At 34.1% G+C, this 20,548-nt stretch overlaps 1 protein-coding gene across 2 annotated transcripts in view, besides 1 other annotated feature; it reads right to left on the bottom strand.

Annotated features, from left to right (window-relative positions):
• Nucleotides 1–20,548, bottom strand: part of KCND2 (potassium voltage-gated channel subfamily D member 2) — a 477,430-nt gene that overhangs the window by 236,507 nt on the left and 220,375 nt on the right. The window lies entirely within an intron of this gene.
• Nucleotides 11,226–11,847: an enhancer, noted in NCBI's record as "OCT4-NANOG hESC enhancer chr7:120142038-120142659 (GRCh37/hg19 assembly coordinates)". NCBI's record gives its function as "activates a minimal SCP1, AML or CMV promoter by ChIP-STARR-seq in primed H9 embryonic stem cells {active_cell/tissue: H9 hESC(primed)}" and the evidence as "EXISTENCE:reporter gene assay evidence [ECO:0000049][PMID:30033119]".

Genomic DNA, 20,548 nt, shown 5'->3' with positions numbered 1-20,548 from the left:
TAAGTGGCTTTGTTGGTTTCTTAAAATAAATGTTTTCATATTAAATGTGAATTTTACCAGAATGACACATTCTGTTATACTTACATGTGCAAAAAACAAAAATTTGACAATTAGAAAAGTAAAAAAAAGTAAAAAACAAACAAAAAACGAAATCAACAAACCAAACTCTCAACTATTGTAACTATTTAAAATATAACAAGGTTTTTTCATATCTTTATATAGTACTCACCTACTTAAATGTATCCTTCTAAACCAAAACAACTAGTCAGTTCCAAGAAATGTAACTGGAGGATCACTTTAGTGAAATAAATCAGTCCAATAATTTGTTTTCCAAAATAGAGTATCTAAATGTGTAAAAATGTAAAAATTTTAATTTTCACATAGATACAACCTAAATCTGTATCATAAGTGGGATAGAGAATTAAAAAGTTAAATGAATTTAGATAAATCAAAAACACATTATTTCCTTGTGAGAAGAAAAATAATGATAAAATGTCAACATTGATTACGTGTATTTGTTGACTTCAAAGTCTTTTAAGGTTAAAAGCCTCCAAATGTACATGTCTGAAAACATGCTTCAGGTACATATGTCGAAACCTGCTTCAGCACGTTTGTGCAGTTATTAGAATTTTATGAGCTGATCAGGTCAATAGATTAAGATATAAAAATTGTGTTTCATCAAAAAATTGCTCCATTCATTATTCACTTCACATGTGAAGAAACCTTGAAGAAGGACAGGTGCGGGGGCTCACTCCTGTAATCCCAGCACTTTGGTAGACTGAGGCAGTGGGTGAATCACTTGAGGCCAGGAGTTCAAGACCAGCCTGGCCAACATAGCGAAAACCTGTCTCTACTAAAAATAGAAAAAATTAGCTCAGCATGGTGGTGCATGCCTCTAATCCCCCCTACTAAGGAGGCCGAGGCACAGGAATGTCTTGATCCCAGGAGCTGGAGGTTGCAGTGAGCTGAGATAGCACCACTGCAGCCTGGGAGACAGAGCAAGAATCTGTCTCCAAAAAAAAAAAAAAAGAAAAAAGAAACCTCAAAGGCATCCTAAAACTATAATTCTTAGTTAGTTTAGACAGACTCTATCTTCCCTGCCTTTATGAAAAAGGAGAAAAAATCCCTCACTAATTTGTTATAATTGATCCTAACATGCAAGTATCATCTACAAATAACTTCATCAACATTCAGAAAGGATTACCTAAATGAACCCGTCTACATATTTCTCTTCATAATGAGCCTCCACAAGACTAATGACTTATTAGTGCCATGGGCAATGAATGATTAATTATTTGATTCTAAAGTGAATTGTTAAGACTATAATTGCTACCTTTTCCTAACTCCTGAAAGTTAGGAGAAGTTGATGTGATGCTAATGTAGTCCAATAGCTTCAATGACTTTTTTTTTTGTTTACTAACAAACAAAAAAATTAAAAAACCTGACCATAATAGCTACTAAAAATGTTTTTATTTATATTTAATAAATGTTTATATGTAATAGTTAAAACAAAATAAACAACTGTACATATACTTACCACATTATTACTTATAATTCTACCAGTTCTTAATTTTTAATCTGTATTTTTCATTAATATAATTACCAATTTTTAGTGTAGCTAAAAATTGGGCACTTAAACATTGTGTTTTTTGAAATACATTAATTCTTTTGAAGGTTGGTGAGTTCTCTGCTCTCAAAAGTGAACTGAACCATGGGATTGTTGATCTTCCTAAACACAATCAACTCTCAATTATTCAGTGTCAATGAAGGGAAGCATTGGTATGAATAAATAATGCTAGTTGGTAATTCACACATTCGGGTTAGGACAAAGGCAATTTATCTCACATTGCTCCAAGAACTGAATGAAAAGGAAGCATAACTGGAGAAATTCCATTTGTGCCAGTTTTGGGAAGTGGTGTGGAGTTGGTGCTATTTTGATATAATACAAGTGGGCTGAAATTCCGTTTTGTGAGGAGCATAAATGCTCTCAATGATGCACAGCTGTATATTAGCCTAATATTTCTATATAACTCTAAATTAGTATCTTCTAAGTGTTTTCTCCTCATTAAAATCTGCGAGATAGGGATAGGTGCTATTATCCTCAAATTACAGTCAAGAAAACAATATCAAAAAGATGAAAAAGGTAAGTATTGTCCCACTGATAAAATGTGGCACAGTTAGAATCTAAAACAACATTCTTTCCCCTGCAGAAAATGACAAAGTAACAATTTACTGTATTCAAATTATGTAAAAATCATTCTGGGGATGTATACATCACCAAAGAATAAAAACAATTATTGCATGTATCTCACTACACAATTCATACATTGTACAGTTCTTTTTGGATTTGTTCATTAATTATTCATTCAGCAAATATCTGTTGAATGCCTACTGTGAGCCAGGTGCTAGAGATATCTAGTAAACAAAACCAGTCTCTGTCCTCAAGGAGATCATATTCTTAGGGACAAGACAGATAAAAAACAAATGAGCAATTTAATGTAGAGTCATATGTTAGATAGTGTTAAGTCTTTTGGGGAAAAACAAAGCATGGTAATAAGAATTCGTGTGGGTAGGGTGAGGGAAGATTTGGGAAGATCTCCTTGATAAGACGATGTTTTGAGAGGAGATGTGAAGGAAGTGAGAGTGAACCATGGAGTTCTCCAGATTCAAAAAATGCTCCAAAAAATGGAACAAACTTGTAGTGTTCATGACATGTACAAAAAATAGCAAGAGACTAGGGTGGCTGGTAAGGAGTCAGTAGTTAGAAGCTCTGAGAAGTGTGTGTGTGTGTGTGTGTGTGTGTGTGAGAGAGAGAGAGAGAGAGAGATGGGGAAAGGTGTCAAGTCATGGGAGGCCATGCAGAGTATTTTAGGATTTGGGTTTTTCTACGAAATGTGAAGCCGTAGGAAGACATGGGTATTGGATTGGCTTTGGATTTCAAAGACTCATGGGGCAGGGGAGGTGGCCAGGGGTTGGGGGTAGAAGGAGGAGGGACGAGGCTGCTGCATGGAGAATTGACAGAGGAGAAAAGCTGAAGTAGAAAAAACTGATTAGGAAGGCTAAATTCGTAATTGGTGAATGTTATGCCTGACATCTTAAACCCTTCTAAAAATCAGTATACCCACAGCTACAGTAGTCAAATAGTTTTGAATGTGGGAAATAATTTAGTGCTCCTTAGGTAGAGAATCTGTGTAATTCATAGAGAGTTATTAAAAATGATATCAAATCACCCTCCTCCTAAGAAAACTTTAGGAGACTGGCATCTAATTAAATTGTATACATTTATTAATGAATAAATGTATATAAAGTGTTTTAAAGACTTTTTAGCTAAGGTTGAGTTTGAATTTAGGTTTTAAGTTCATTAAATAGCGTTTTCCTCCACATCTTCATTGGATTGACAAGATTCTGAGAGGCAAAGTGCGACATGAATTTGAAGTCAGACTACAGGGGTTCAAAACCTTCCACTACTTCATAATTGGTAATCTTAAGCAAGTGAATTCAACATTCTGGAGTCAGTTTCTTCTTCTCTACAATTTAGCTAATAGTAGTGTCAATGCCAAGAAGTTTGTTAAACATGAACTTTAATGTATGCAGAGTGCTTAGAACAGCATCTAGTGTCTCTGACAGCTAGAATATGTTGTACTTAATATGCTATAATCAACCTATTTCACTGACAGGAGAGTCTTTAGGGTTAGGAATGACTTAAGCCTTCTCAGCAAGAATATTAGCGCTAGCGAAGCATGTACTAGGGGATTTGTGTCACATAAGGAAGTGTGAATATCAAACTTAAAATACTGAAGCACAAGAAATGACAGGGGGAAAAGGGATTGCTTCCTGTAGGGTCTTGTGGCTAGATGTCCAATGATGTAGAGAGAGTATTTGCACAACGGCTATTCCATAGCTCCATTATTTGGCAAGTGTTTGGCTAGAAGAATGAACCAAAGCTTATCCTATAATAGATGGTATCAAAACATTGATTCCTAGGTATTGTATTCCTTATTGAAGGAATTGTGGAAATTATTTTCACAACAAAAGGCAAAATCCATTTCGAGTACATGAATAGAAGTGAATTGGCAAATAATTTTGCAACGGAAAACTCTGTTTCAGTTGCATTGAAGTAAACAACACAAAACTATTGTAGCAACTTAATATCTCATGGCACAGCTCTTATTCCATGTACAAATAAAATAAATGTCAAAATCAACAACAAAATTAAGACAGCATTTGACTGTTAAAAAGCCACAGAACCGCTGTGGTGTGTTGCCAAAAGAAGTAAGAAACTTGAGCTCTGTGAAGCTAGTAAATTTAAATGGCAATTCAACCCCGGATAAGAGATTACTTTTGAATATCTATCTCTGGATAATGTAATAAAATATTTGTTAAAATGCACTTTTCATTTTAGAATTGTGTTACATGTATTGAAGATTTACAAAGATTCCAGAGCGTATATACATATATACCCCAAACCCAGTTTTCCCCATTATTAACATCTTATATTCTTATGGCACATTTGTATAATTAATGAAGCAATAGTGATAGACTATTATTAACTGAAGTCCATACTTTACTCAAATGTTTACGTTTTTTACCTAATATTATTTTTTTTGTTCCAGGATCCCATCCAGAATACCACATCACATTTAGTAGTCATCACTCCTTCAGTTCCCATTGGTTGTGAGAGTTACCTAACACTCTTACATTATAAATATAATTACAAGTAAAATCAGTTTTAAATTAATATAGTCTATATGCTGCTTTGAAAACTGTTGGCAGTAATACCTCCTTCCCATTTTGGTAGTTTATATTACTTGCATATTCACAAATACGTTTTGTTTCTAATATTGCAATCAGCACCAGTCTCTGGAAATGGTGCAGCTGAGGGCAAAGCAGTCTGTTCACCACTCCTTTCTTTAAAAAGGATGTCCAAAAAAAAAAAAAATCGTGAAAGGCAACTTCCAATCTAAAAGTGTGTATCTGGAGGATAAAAGTGGATTCATCTATTTTGCCTCAGTGACAGCATCGGTAGATGCCACAATGTTGGCAGAAAAAATATGTCATATTTGTGGCAAAATAGGCTTTCTATAATCCATAAGGATTATTTTACATATTATTCAGGCCAATTTTTAAATAAATTAACATTATGCAGTGAAGAATTAAAACAGGCCTTTTGAAACTTGAGGTATTTGCACTTTTTTCCCATTGATTTTGACTTTGGCTTCCTTTTAGAACATTAGTGAAAGGTACTAGAGCAATCATTTTGGAAGATATGATTTAATATTTAAAACACTTTATTTCTTTTCATCATAATGCGAATAAGTAGTGTGTTATAGTCAGAGGGCAGAATAAATGGGAGAATTATATCTACAGCTACCTTCCTTGAAAACATCTTTCTGGCAATCTCCTTTGAGTATGAAACCAAAATCTATCATCTCATCTGGGATGCTACAAAAAATAACAAAAGATTCAGAAAGTGTTATATACCCGTTTCTGACTGGAAATTTCAACTCCCAGATAACAGAAATATGTAACAATGATTTTTAGAAGGCAGCTTTCTAACAGAATATTAAACTCTAGACATCAGCAAAGAACATGATATTCATAATAAAAAGTGATTCTTTTTAATTATAAGAAATAATTTTTGTTCTAAAGTAACAAATTTAAAAAGAAGAAAAACACGTCCAATTCTTTCTGCTGATTGGTTTTGTTTCACAATAATACACTAATTAAAATCTTGTAAATGTGCCTTAGTTTTCACGGCAGCTAATAAAGAAAAAAAAAGCCTTTGAAATTCATTAAAATGATCAAAATGGCAATATAGACTCTTAATACCTCTTAACTCTAAAGAAGATAAGCTTATCATTAAATTAATGAAAATATAGCTTCAGAATAAACTTTCAAATATCTGGCATTTACCCTCCCAGTGAGCTTTTTTTTTATGAAATGCCATAAAAATCAACTTAAACATAGGAAATAATACAGTCACATTATGTAGAAATGTTTTTAATGGGTTGTTTAATTATCAGGTTTTAGTGTAAGCAAAGAAAATCTAAAATAACAGTGTTTTATGTTAGATAAGAATTTATTTCTTCTCACCCAAAGGCTGAAAATTCAGGAGGTGTAGGGCTACTAGGAGCCTGAGGGTATAGGAAATCCAGACATATTCTATCTTGATACTGCATAACATGTAGTCTTCTTAAGGTCACCTCATATTCTAAGATAGTTGTTGCGGCAGTAGTCATCATATTTGCATTCCAACCAAGACGAAGGAGGAAGAGCAATGGGCATGTTCACATTCCATAAGGAAAATTTATAAATTGCACATTCAAGACTTCTGCTTACATCCCATTTGCCAGAAATCTATCCCTTGGTGACACCTAACTGCAAGGAAGGCTGAAAGAGGTAGTCTTTACCCATGTAGCCATAAGTCCAGCTGAAAATCAAGGCAGTATTAGTAGTGAAGAAGAGAACAGGTAGTGAGGGTAACTAGAAGTCTCTGCCACATAGGTTAACACAGAAAAGTCAACAGATGTCTCCACTCTCCATAAATTTTGTAAAGTACTATAAATCCTATTCATAAAAGGATATGTTATATATCTAGCTTCTCCATCCTGCTATCCTTTTGAAGTCTGTGTTAGAAGAACCAGACTAAGAAAAACTCTCTTTCCTTAAAATGTTTAATATATTGATTAAAAGAGGAAGAATGTGGTCTATGATCATTTGTGTTCTACTTAAGACTGAATAACCATTTTGAATAAATGTTCAACTGAACTGACTAAATTAACTAGTTAATTTATCATAATGTCCATGTAATAAATAATATACATGTAAATGCACAGGTGTACCCTATAAAATTTAGTCAGAAATACAATCCTTGGCTCTTTCTTTTTTGTGGGCTTTCTTCAGAAAATAAATAAATAAAAGGATGACTACTAAAGACTTCAGTAAACAACATGGATAGTAATTAAATAAAAAAATTAGAGAGAACTTAACTAGAAATTCTATTGTGAAAAAAATTCTGTCTACAGATAGTTTAGCTACAACTAAGAAATCTCAATTCTGCAAAGTGTTATCTTTGTATTGCATCCGTTATATGAAAACTAGATTCTATATTTATCACTCGCTTCCTAACAAATGAATTAGGGAATTGTTCACTTTCTTTACTACAACCATTTGACAGCTTTAAATATTTTCCAGATTACTAAGTTCATCAGTACGTTTGTTTCCATGACTTCCATAGACTGAAATGAAAATAAATGTTTTGTAAGTTTGGTCTAATGAATAGGGTCTCAAAAGCTTTTTCTGTTACCTTACAGAGTTTTAGTACTATGTTTGTCTTTGCTGTGTGCTCTTTCAAATTCTTTTTGGCAAGAGATAGAGTAAAAATGCACAAAACCATGAAAGTATCTCATCTGTATGCAATCTATGGCCATAGAACAAAGAGGAGCTAATTGGTCCATAAGTGGAATCTGTGATCTCAGCATCATTTCGTATGGTGCTCTAATCTAATTAACCAGCCACTGTCTTTGGCTATATGCTGCTTAAGGATATGATTCATATTTATCTTTGTGTACCCACCATCTAGCATATTTTTGGCACTTGGATCGAACTCAATATTTATTACATGAAGTTAGAGTTCCATACTACTCACTTTTTAATATACCTACTCTCTATGTATTTCCTCTTTAAACTAGAAGAAAAAAAAATTTCAAAAATCACAGCTTGCACCTCCCTCTGGCTTTGAAAAGGAAGGTAAGATTGTGTTTTTTCCTTAAATGGTTTAAAATTAACAAACAGTTTAAAGTATTGGAAGAAAATACAATAAATACTTTTAAAATTGTTTTATTAATACAAAATAATAAAAACATTAAATTAAATAATAAATGTATTTAATTTTCTTGAAAATAAAATATATTTGAATGTCAAATGTGTTGTTTTCAAAAAGGTTAGACAGGGGATTGTATGTTATAAGAACAACTTGCACCCAGCCACATAATGGTATGTAAAATTAGACAGAAGTGAGCAGGTCAGGCCTTATGACCCTACTCTTCTCTAATAGTACTTTTTTCTTATTTATGTGTTGCACTGACTCTGAGTCCAGAATTCTTACCACTGTACAGCTATTCATAGCTTATTCTAATATCTCTCTGGGTTTAGCAAGGCCCATAGAGTAACCATCAAAGCTGGAGAGTGTGTCAGCTAAAACAGGTCCATGGGCAAGAGATCATATTAAAAGACCCCTGAAACTTAGCATTTTCAATGACATGATAAAATCTGATTTGAGCAAACACAAATACACAGGGTTTCTTTTTTGTCATTGTTATTTTATTACAAACATGCCGTTTCTCTATATTTCCTTATATTTTACTATAAAAGAATATAGCTTTGGCATAACACTAAAATAAAGAAAAACCCTTAAGTTTTGCAGTGTTTCATTTGCAACTGAATGCTTTACTATAGGAAATACAAATTCTGTTTCTCCGTCTTGTTTTTTTTCCTTCGTACTCTGCCCTGAGATTTGCTTTTGAAGATTCCTAAGATAGATGTTAAGGGGAAGAGGGAGGGAGGACTCATCTTCTATTTAGAAGGTTACAGAATGTTGTTATCTTTGGCCACCTCACGCCAGTCTTCACCTGACATACTTTTACTGAGTTTTGAAAATAAAATAATAAAAATAAAATAGTGTTTAATTACATTATTCAATGGTAGCTAGCAGAGCAGTTCTTTTATATTTCATGAGAATACATATATGTCTTTAAATACTGTCTGAGCACTTTTTAAATTTGAAAAACTGTTACCTGTAACTAAAGAAAATATTAACCAGAGTTTGGGCCCTTTATTTTTAAAAGCAAAAGTGCTTTATATTTTGTAAGTGCAACAATATTTCTAAGTGTCTTATCCAATATCCAAACACTAACAATATTTACCCACCTACTCACGTGCTAAAAAAGAGTATACCGATATTCATGAGTGATCTGGAATTCTACAAGCAGAAGCAACATTCACCAAAAACTTACCACAGGTACAAAAAAAATGCATCTGTGTATTGTAAAGATCTTTGGAAATTAGGCTTTGGCTGAACTCAAACCTTATTAATACTTTGCAGAGCTTTCCATAATTTATAGAGCCACCCTCTAATCCTTAATTCAAACATGTATACCAATATTTTTCTAATTTTAATGACAATTGTACCACATGGTCTTTAGTATGGCAGGCTGCCTAGAAACTTTCAGTAAATTACACACCAAGATGATCTACTCTTTGGATTGTCTCCAGAACAAAGACTATGATGTATAATTAAAACCAACTAACAATTAACTGCCATCAAATATAAGATGAAGGACAAGCATTGTAAATTTAGGTATTTACAATAAGAAGCAGTATAAAGGCTTTTTTTCAATGAATGATAAAAATAGATCCACATACTTGAGTTTATAATTTTAAGGTTTATGTAAAATAATAATGAAACAAAAGAAAGCTAGCATGTTCCACGCTTCACTGTGTTGAAGTAATTTTGTTAGCCTAATAAGGGACTCTCTGATAACTCAAAAATCATTCTATTTATTGCATGTTTTGAACTAAAGAATTATTTTAAGAGACATAGTAATACCACTTTGGCACCATTATTAGTTATATAAGTGAGGGTGTTGAATGAGCCAAAATTATGTTTTTGTACACTATAATATATTTGTGCATACCAAAAAGAGTTACTTAATTACTGGGATGTAGCTTTTATATTTAACACCCACTTAAGAATCAGATCTTGAAGATCTGAACTAACAAATCTCTTTCATTATTTATTCTTATATAACCTAAGGGAAAGCATAGCAAAGCAGCTATCTAATTATGACTGTTTTAGAACGATACAAGAAAGGAGCAAAAGATTTTTCAAGGCTTTTTATATATGGATGCAGAGGCGGATTTGCGGTGAAGCTAATGAAACTTCAGGGTCCCTTGCTTGAAAGGGTCCCTTCCAAAGGCCTTGAACTTTATTTTATATTCATTATTTTGTATTCTATTGCGTAAAGTGACTCCCCCCAAATTGAATAAGCCACAGGCTTCATATAAAGTAGACCTACTGACGTGTATGTATGAACATCTAGAATCTTTTTAGTTTTAAAGAGCTGGGGCTCTGGGATCGAGACGGAACTAAATATAGAGGATACTGAGGAATTATGAGCAGAATCGTGGGCAAGCTTTCATCATCTTCATAAATAAATAACGAAGGCAAAGGACACAATGCAGAAGGGTCAAGGAAAGAGAAGTGGTGGAAAAATGAAAAATAATATGAGGGAGGATGTTGCAAAGGGAGACAGAAAGTTTGGAACACTTATGTTTAAAAGAATTTGAGACTTAGAAAGTGACTGAAAAAAGTACATACAAGTCTCTGCATTTACCTCCTTGTTTCTTGGCCATGGCTTTCAACTCTCTCTCTCTCTCTCTCTCTCACTCTAGAGACTAATTTGTAATCTCAAATTTTGAAATGTAAACTCTGAAATATTAGCATGGATTACTTTCACTCTTATCTTAACCATAGCATTTAATGCCACATTTTAAATGTCATTTGTTGTTTCATAAATAAAATGGAAAACTGTAGCAAAATCACACAATATGCTTCCAACATATGAACTTCCTCTTCCACCTCCCTTGCTTTTTTCTTATTTGATCCATTTTAGGATGTTTGCAAAAGAACTACTAAAAGGCTGAAGTTCAGTAGATTATATTTACTTTAACAAGATTCTTAAATGGATGTTTCAGTCTAGACCCTAAGGCAATAGATAACAGATTAGTGGGCATTCCTTGCAAGTACTTCAAACTGGGTAAATAAAAACTGAAAAACCAGTTTCCTTTTACCTACTTCAAACATATAAAATAGCTAGGAAAGTAAATCTGAGGTACAAGATATGCAGAGATTATTTCCTGGACAGAATTGTGCTGTGAGTCTAACTGTTCCCACCAAGGAAGAAGGAAGAGCGATTCCCACTTCACCTCACATCAAGAGAGACAAGATTCAATGGTACCACTGGGAAAGCCTGTATGTGTGTCCTCTGAAGTTGGTAGATACAAATAAAATTAGAGTCCAGCACCTACTCAGGAAATCTAGTAGCAAAGAAGCTCCCTAACTGCTTTGGTGCTGGAGTTTAGCAGAGTAGCCGACGTGTGGCAATTAGCTTGCATACTCATAGTTTTGTTCAAGAAAAGAACATGCAGTCTTCTTCCACAGAGCTACCTGAAGGGGCAAGACACTGCACACCAAAGCTGGAAATGTATTGCTGAGTTCCTGGATGTTGCTGAAGGAGTAAGCAACCAACTAGACTAGAGAAACTTTCATCTAGACCAAGAGAACTATAGGTGACAGTCCCCAGTCTCTCATAAGAGAGCTTAAATACCTGCTAGACCTAGGGAAGATAGAGCCTTCTTGCCAGTCTAGTAAAAACTGTCCTACCCCTCCCCTCTGCTCTCCTCTTAATCCTTCTGCAACCCTGTTGAGGCCAGAAATCTTAGTTAACAAAAGGATGAAAGAAAGGAGTGAAAGCTTAGCATAGGGGAAGGAGAGGAGAAAGGCAATACCCTATTGTCTCTAAGCTAACAGCCAGCTTTTAGCAGGACCCAGCTTGGGAAGGAAAAAAAAAATAAATCAGGGTTTTGATATACAGAATTGGATATTATATGGGACCGAGTTTGCTACTTAAACACAGTAACAGCCATAGGCTTCCCACATTTCCAACCGTTGGCTAGAGAACTCTTTCCACTGAATAAATTTTAAAGAGGCATTAGGGACTAAAAGATGTTTTCTGATTACATCTCATTGTCCAGATGACTCAAAGAACTTGTTAAAAACACTGTATTCTTTCTACAGATTGTTTTTCTGTGTCTATGCCATGCCTAATTGATTGGAGGAAACAATATCAAAGTATATGCTTCTGAAAAACTTTAACTTAGTCAAAACATTTTTCTTCTAGTCACCCAAATGAATATTTAACGAAAATTAAATTTTAAAAATGAAGATTTTTAAAAATTTGAAACACCCAGGGGAATACAGTGCGAAATATATTATTCCCTAGAGCATGGAATGAAATTCTATAAACAAAGTAGAATTGTCAGGATTGGCTTATCGAGTTTCTTACGTTTGTGTGTCTAAGCATATCTGCAGTTCCCAGGCAAGGAACCTATCAAAGGACATGTTAAGTCTACAAGCTAAATAATTCAAGCAGATTTTTATTTTAAATATATTCTTCACTTTTACAAATAATTTCAGTTTATGTTTTTCAAAACTATAAGTATTTTCTTGTGAAGGTGATGCTCTGAAAGGGAAGAGGGCATTTATTTAAATGCTGCTTGTTGCCATTGCATTGGCAAATGTTCAGCTTTTAGACTGGGCATGGAAGAAATATGATAATAAATTGCATTGCTCAGGAACCTCAATCACAACTCATCTTTTCTGCATGCAGTTATTCTCTTCTACGATGTACAAAATCTTAAGGGACCTGTCATATAAATATTTCTAAAGATCAGTCAATACCTGCAGCATTGCCATCCATCATTGCTGAACAAGTTCTGTTTTACACAGTAATCACATAAATTGAGTTACAAGAAATTATAATTCTGTAAGAAACACTTCTTGGTCCTTGGCAAGGTCATTACTGTGCCGTGAGTCTGTTCCCCAAGATGATGTATGTCAAAGCATAAAGAGTGGTATAGCCAAGAAACAAAGAACATGGACTAACAGATTCTAGAGTAAGTAACCTTACTTAAACAAACAAAACCCTCAAAATATAGCTTTAGGGTATACATTTGATGAGTTCTTATGAAGCCTGTTAGAGTAGACATTGTATTTTTTTTTCACACAAAAAGGACAAATTCTAGCCAGAAGTCAAATATAGGATTTAACCATTATTTGTAGTACAATAGAATGGAAAGTGAATCAAAAGTAAATATTTACTCATAGACATTGGCATTATAGGTAGAATATTCTCAATAATATTTAAACCATACATTTAAATATAATTTAATTTAAATATATAATATAAATAAATATAATTTAAATCATAACTCCCAGACACATATTTAGAAAAGCAAAGTTGATCAACCAAATGAAGCAAAAATAGCAAGTTATCTAACTGGTGAAATTCTGCATTTTTTATAATGTTGTATAACTCAAACATAATTTTAATTTTGCTGTTGTTATTGTTGCTTATTGGATTGGTTGGTTTGTTCATTTCTTTTTTGCATTGACTCACCCTAGATATTTAAAGTGTTTCAACATCTTGCCCAAATAGTGGTCTTACGAAGAATTTCAAAGAAGTACAAATACCTGGGAATTTCTAAAAATTGTGACTACATTCAAGAATTTTGCGATAATGCCCCAATAGTGAGGGCATAACATCAAGTTAGATTATCCCCCAAAACACACTGTACTTTATTACATAAGAAAAGAAAAGAATAGGTACTATTAAAATATTTATGGCAATGCAAAGTACCTAAGGGACATGAACATTTACTTATGTAAAAGATGATTGGTGAAGATTATATGCTAAGCACAGTGTGTACCTATCTCTGCCTTTCCTTTCTGAAATTTTGTAAGCCACAGAATAAGTAATCACTTCCCACTTCTGGACTATGCTCTTAGTCCAAATAAAATTTTGATTCATACCAAAAATTCATATTAGAGAGAATTTCTGACCTCCTACAGTAGTTTCTAATTGAGAAAATTATTATAATGGAACACTCAGAGGAAATAAAACATTTGGGACTAAGAAAGCCCACATATATAATTTCATGAAGATGCAAATTAAAGATAGTATTGATTTAAGTTCTTTTTTTTCTCTTTTGCATCTATGGCTATTGCATTTCATTTTTTGAGCATTCACTATGTGCTGGGCACCCCATGCTAGGTGGGGACAATGGTGGTACCAAAGTTAATCACATAGAGACTGGTGCTCAAGAAATGAGTCATCTAATAGGATAAATAAGATGAAGATAAAAGTACTATAACAAAAAAACATTTTTGTGCTATATGATAGATGAAGTAGATTATTTAATCTATCATATAGCCTATGTGAAGGGCAAAGAGGCAGGCGTGGCTTCTAGGTGGGGACAGCATAAAACATTTTGGCAATGACATGTATGCTGGATCTTGAAAGTTAAGTAGGATTTGCTTTAAGGAAAGGGTGTATGTTGGAGGCACGACAGGAGCAAAGGGAATTGGAGTAGACTGAGAAAAGTATTCTAGATAAAGAAAATATGAGTAAAAGTTCCATGCTACCTATAAGAATTTCCATGATGAAAATTATTACTTGAAAATGACTTTAAGTTCTTGGGAAATACAGCTCAATGCTTCTTTTAATGTACTTTGCAGAAATCCCAAACACAGTGCACAAAATAGAAATAAAATGTCTTGTTGTTACTGATGGTGAAAATAGGAAAAAAATACGTGGTTTTCTGTCTTATTTTGGAAATTTAAATATAAAATGAAATGAATAGGCTAACACAAATGATTTATTATTTGTTTTATAATTGAGCTATTATTTATTTACAATAAAAAACCACAAATATATTTTTGAATACTCATTAATTTCCATAAGTTCATAGAAGCTGGCTTTGTAAACTTTCCCTTATCAGAGAATTCATTTAAATACAGTTCTGTATATAATGAGGTTTTCTTCCCTTTGCTTCCCCTGAATATTTAGCAGTATAGAAACTTGACAGGTTAGGCAATTAGAATATAATTTATAATACAAGAATCATGCATATGAACTGCTTCCTGCCCATAATTTAAAATGCAAGTCAAATCAAAGATTTCTTATGCTAGACCAGAAGAAAAATTTCCTATGAACGGAATATTATAATATATTAATATTTTACTTATATCTTCAAGTGATCATGCTGAAAATAGTATCTAGTGCAATTCATTTTCCCTAAACAAAATACAAAATTGTATATATCAGTCAGCTTAATTCTCACGGACAACATTTAATTCCTGTAGATAGATGCTAACATGCTCAGGTTTCCACAGTGCCTTTTATTTTATTTTATTTTACTTTTTCGTATTTGTTTTTGAGATGGAGTCTCGCTCTGTCACCCAGACTGGAATGCAGTGGCACGATCTTGGCTTACTGCAACCTCTGCCTCCTGGGTTCAAGCGATTCTCATGCCTCAGCCTCCTGAGTAGCTGGAATTACAGGTGCCTGCCACCATGCCCAGCTAATTTTTGAATTTTTAGTACAGACAGGGTTTCACCATGTTGCCCAGGCTGGTATCAAGCTCCTGAACTCAGGTGATCCATCTGCCTTGGCCTCTCAAAGTGTTGGGATTACAAGCGTGAGCCACCACGCCCAGTCGAGTGTCTTTTTTTCAGATGGAGTCTTGCTCTGTCGCCAGGCTGGAGTGCAGTGGGGCAATCTCGGCTCACTGCAACCACTGCCTCCTGGGTTCAAGTGATTCTCCTGCCTCAGCATCCTGAGTAGCTGGGAAAACAGGTGCATGCCACCACACCTAGCTAATTTTCATATTTTTAGTAGACACGGGGTTTCACCATGTTAGCCAGGATGGTCCCGATCTCTTGACTTCTTGATCCACCCGCCTCGGCCTCCCAAAGTGCTGGGATTACAGGCTGTTAGCCACTGCCCCTGGCCTTAATATACTGCTACTATTTTACTTATTAAATGATTTTCCAATAGGCCCTGGGATCTGCTGTCCGTTGTAAGGTATAGTATCCCTATTTCAATAGAAGTGTTACCTGATAGTTTTTAAAATGTTGATAAATGGATATCTCTTTTAAGTGACAGTAAATAAATCTGGTATTACAAATTGCAAAAATCATTAAGATCTTGTTGCTTCCTCTATTGTCATTCCATTAATTTATTTTTTAAATACTTTATTTTAATGCGTACTGTGTTTTGCAGAGGCTGCTAGGTGTCCTCTAATATCCACACTCCTTCCACAAAAGTAAAACACCTGAGTTTTGCCTGAGTACATATATCCATCTGAAGTGAAACTATTTTATCAGGCTGTTTTGTGTTGTGTGACCATGTGATTAATTTAGGTCAAAAAATGCAATTAGAAATGTCCTGTGTGTCAGCTTCTGGGACCCTTCCTTAAACCATACTAGTGCTCCGACCTCTGTAACTGTTTAAATTGTCTTTGCCTCTATCCTGCTGAACGGACATTGAGTGTAATGGCTGAAGCTACATTTACAAACTTGCAATATAAGAACAAAGACTAGACCTAGGATGGCCAAGTGGATGGCTGGAAGGTACATGGAATCCTCAGCACTTTATGGAGCAGAGCTATACTTGCCTCCTGAAATTAGGGAAGTATAAATCTCTATCATTTGAAAGTTCTAACTTAAATAAACATGTAAAACTAATCTTATGAAATATAACTTGCTAAAACTTATCTTGTTAAATGTTCCAAGGACTCACCTCTTCCAGAAAATCTTCCAAGACTAAGAAATAGCACGTATGCGTCCCCAAGAATATTTTATTTCCCAGTTGTGGCCATATTGACTCTCCAAGGGATTTTTAAGGGTAAGATAAATACTTAAAATGTACATCAAATGAAAGGGACATTGAAAGCTTGTCCACAGCCAATAATAATGCAATTAAAGAGCTCAGGATAGAATTGGGTGTTCTTATGTGCTTATTATTTTTATCTCTAAATGTTACCAATATCCTTTATTTTTAATTTCAGTCTAGTTAAAAAAGGAAATGATTAATTACTATTTTTATATGCTACACATAACACTTATCAGAGAAAGGATGTTATTATAGTCTCAGACATGACAGTTCTTGTAAATTATCTTTATCTTAAGAAGAACCTAGACAAACTCAAATGCCATTATCATAATCATTAAGCCAGATTAATATATTTTCATGGTATCGAATAATGAATTGTATTCAGCTCAACAGGCCATTGTAGTAGGTAGTACAGCATGAGTATACAAATTATCTGCAATTCCAACTCTTGGGAAAGCTAGAATCTTTAGTAAAGGTAAAACAAAACTAATTATAACACAAACTGGAGTATAATACTTACTACAAAGTACAACAGAGATTTGGAAAAGAGAAAGGCCACAATCAATGAGTGGAATTAAGAAAAGCTTTAAGAAGGCCGGGCACGGTGGCTCACGCCTGTAATCCCAGCACTTTGGGAGGCCGAGGCAGGTGGATCATGAGGTCAGGAGATAGAGACCATCCTGGCTAACATGGTGAAACTCCGTCTCTACTAAAAATACGAAAAAGCAGCCAGGCGTGGTGGTGGGAACCTGTAGTCCCAGCTACTCAGGAGGCTGAGGCAGGAGAATGGCGTGAAACTGGGAGGCGGAGCTTACAGTGAGCCGAGATGGCACCACTGCACTCCAGCCTCTGCAACAGAGCGAGACTCCATCTCAAAAAAAATTAAAAAATTATATATTTTTATATATATATAAAAGAAAAGCTTCAAGAAGTAGGTGGCAGTACCACATTGGTGCAACCTGGAGTCAGTTTAGAGTAGGTGGCCTTCTCATCTGACTCCAACTGTGGCCTTACCAGAACCAAGGAAGACACAAAAAGAGTATAGAGAGAGGTTACAATCTACCTAGTAAGCCTGAGGCTTAGAGATCCAATTGCTCCAAACTCATCAGGGCAACTTCTTCAGGGAGAGTGTTGCAGGTTTACAGGACAGGTTTTGCTGAGAAAGATTTCTGACTCAGAGTGGATGCTTCTACCTCCTCTTACTAAACTATTGCTTCAAATAGCCAATAGTTTTGCCCTCTTAATTTCAACAACCTTCGATAATGACTCATCTTACTTGCATTAATTCTGAATCTGCTTGTCTATAGTAATCTGTTTTTTTAATGGGATTTTTGCCCATTTCTCATGTTAGTTCAACCTCTTCCCAGCATTTGCTTACATCACATGCTTGCTACTGGTCCCCGGAATGTGGCCTGTTAAACAACCATATGATAGATACACATTTTACTTTTTCAAAGCCCAGAAAATTCTTAACCATTTTTGCTGCATTAAAGACAGAATTACTATTTGTGAGACCTCATTTTTGCCTACTAAGCTTAAGGTAGGTGGGGCAGGGCATGGGTGAGATATTTTGAACTGTTGTCTTCACCTTTCTTTTCAGTAATCTACCTCTCAATTTGGACTTTAGCCAGAATAAGTGCATGCAGCTTCCTTCACTCACTTTTAGTCTATGAAATTTAGGAAAAAGATAATCTACCAATGACAAATCTAAAATTGTAACTTTTTATATTTTCTTTTCCTTCCAGGGGATGGGGAAAAGTTAATGGCATTAAAATGCATTAGGTTGATCAGCCATTATGCTAATGCACAACCTGCATAGTTCTGGGTCAGTAACATTACAGCCCCAACTTTCTTGATTGAAAGGGACACAGTGACCTTAGCAAATTGGTTTGACAGGCTTGTTTCTTATCTCACAATGATAAAGTAAGTCTCATCAAAGAGCTAGATCATACTGAATTGGGGTAAAAAAAAAAAGTTGTCATTCTATCCTGCTTTAAAATATCCAACAGTGTGTTTCTAATACCTTTTAAAAAAGGAAATGTTTGATCTCAGTAATTTTTAAAACAGTGCAGTGCCTAAAAACAACCAGAATTACCTACTCTTATAGAATAGGCTTAAATGTTAGCTTTTATAAAATGTAAACACAGAATGTTTACAGGTTAGTATGGCTTAGGAAAAAAAATATTAAAAAAACCTTACATCTTTTAAAGATTTGATTATATTTCCAAAGCATCCAGGTTTATTATTATTAATGCACATGATTTCAGGGGAGTAGAAAGAAGCTGAATTTAAATAACTACTTGTGGCAACACAGCACCAATTATACACTCCATGGCTATTTATGTCCTCTGGTGATCAACTAGCAGTGGGAAGTAAAATTGACAACACACTGGTACAATCACAATTATGGGTCAAGCTTCAATAAGCCTGTTTAAATGATTCCATTAGGTCCTATTTGATATACTGATTTACATATATTTTGACTATTTTCAGACATGTTATCTACTTTAAAATGCTGTGATATAATCATTTTCCATAAAGATGCATTAGTCCAGAACACTGAAAAATAAAATAGTATGCCATGCACACAAATTTCTGTAGAATTTGAATTGCATTAGAATATATCTCCAGCCATACTTTAGCAGATTACAAAATCATCTGGATTTCACAGCAGGGCTATTTAATAGAGAATTTGAATATTTTTAGAATTGTTTAAAGAGGCTTTTTCTAGAAACATAAACATATTTTTAAGGTAAATAAAAACTGTGTCCATAAGACATGATATGACTTTCTATATTGATCCATGCCTAACATGTTACTATCTTTAATGTTAGTCTGACCTACACATAGCTTTTCCAGGTGATTTCTCTCTTCAGTAGAACTGCAACCCTTCTGTAATGTGATCTAAAGATTGCTATTTTTGAGTCATTTCCATGTGACAAAATGACTTTGTTTAAATTGTTTCCTTTCAAACATGGTGTCACAATATATAGAAATAAACATATGCAGTGCATACTAAAGTGTAAGGCATCATGATAAACTGTACATCAGAAAACTCATCAAAATAACTTAACACCTAGACATTACCGGTCTTGGAAGCCACCTGATTGCTGCTTCTGTACTCCATCTTCCACCTTCCCCACCAGAAGAAACAGCTATGCTAAGCTTTGCTTTACTTATTATTTTATTGCTTTAAAATATAGTTTTTACTCCATGTGCATATTTTCCTAATATATTGTTTAGGTCGTCCTATCTTTAAACTTCCTAAAAATATTATTCTGTTTGTTATCAAATGACACTTTTCATTTATTTATGACTTTACCATTTTATAAGATTTATTCAGTTGAATATAATTAGCTGTAGTTCAGCAATTTTTACTGCTTATTTAAAATTCCATTATGTAAATATTTTGTGATTTATTTACCAATTACATATTTAGATATATGCAGTTTAACACTACTGTGGATTATGCTCCTATGAATACTTTTAATCATGTCTCCTAATAGAAATGTGCAAGAGTTTCAAAAGTGGTGGTACCAGTTTCCACTCCCATGAGCAATATATGAGTGTGCATCATTTCACATCTTCAGCAACACTTGGCCTTGTTAAAATTCTGAATTTTTGCAAATCAAGCAGGTGTCATATGGAATCCTGTTATGATCTTAATTCGTATTCTTTTATTACTGATAATGTTGAGCATCATTTTATAGGTTTCTGGTGTCTGTGTTTTTCTGTGAAAAGGAAATGCCTATTTATGTCCTTTGTCAATTTTCTATTTGGTTGTTTTTTTCTTATGGATTTGCAAGAATTCTTTATGAAATTGCATATTATTTCTTCACATATCTGTTTACCCCCATTAAACTTTAAGTTCCCTGAGGGTAAAGACATTACTTTCTTCGTTGTTATATCCCCAATGATTAGTATCATAATTCAATTATACAGCTCTATATTTTGCAGATATTAGCATGTTCCTTTTACCAAAAATTCTTCTTAAACCGTTAAGAAAAGAAGGAAAATATTTATCATTGCTTTAC

The sequence above is a fragment of the Homo sapiens genome, chromosome 7, assembly GCF_000001405.40.
Source record: "Homo sapiens chromosome 7, GRCh38.p14 Primary Assembly".
Classification (NCBI taxonomy): Eukaryota; Metazoa; Chordata; class Mammalia; order Primates; family Hominidae; genus Homo; species Homo sapiens.
The sequence above is the reverse complement of the archived record's forward strand: the minus strand, read 5'-3'. Positions and strand labels throughout refer to the sequence as shown.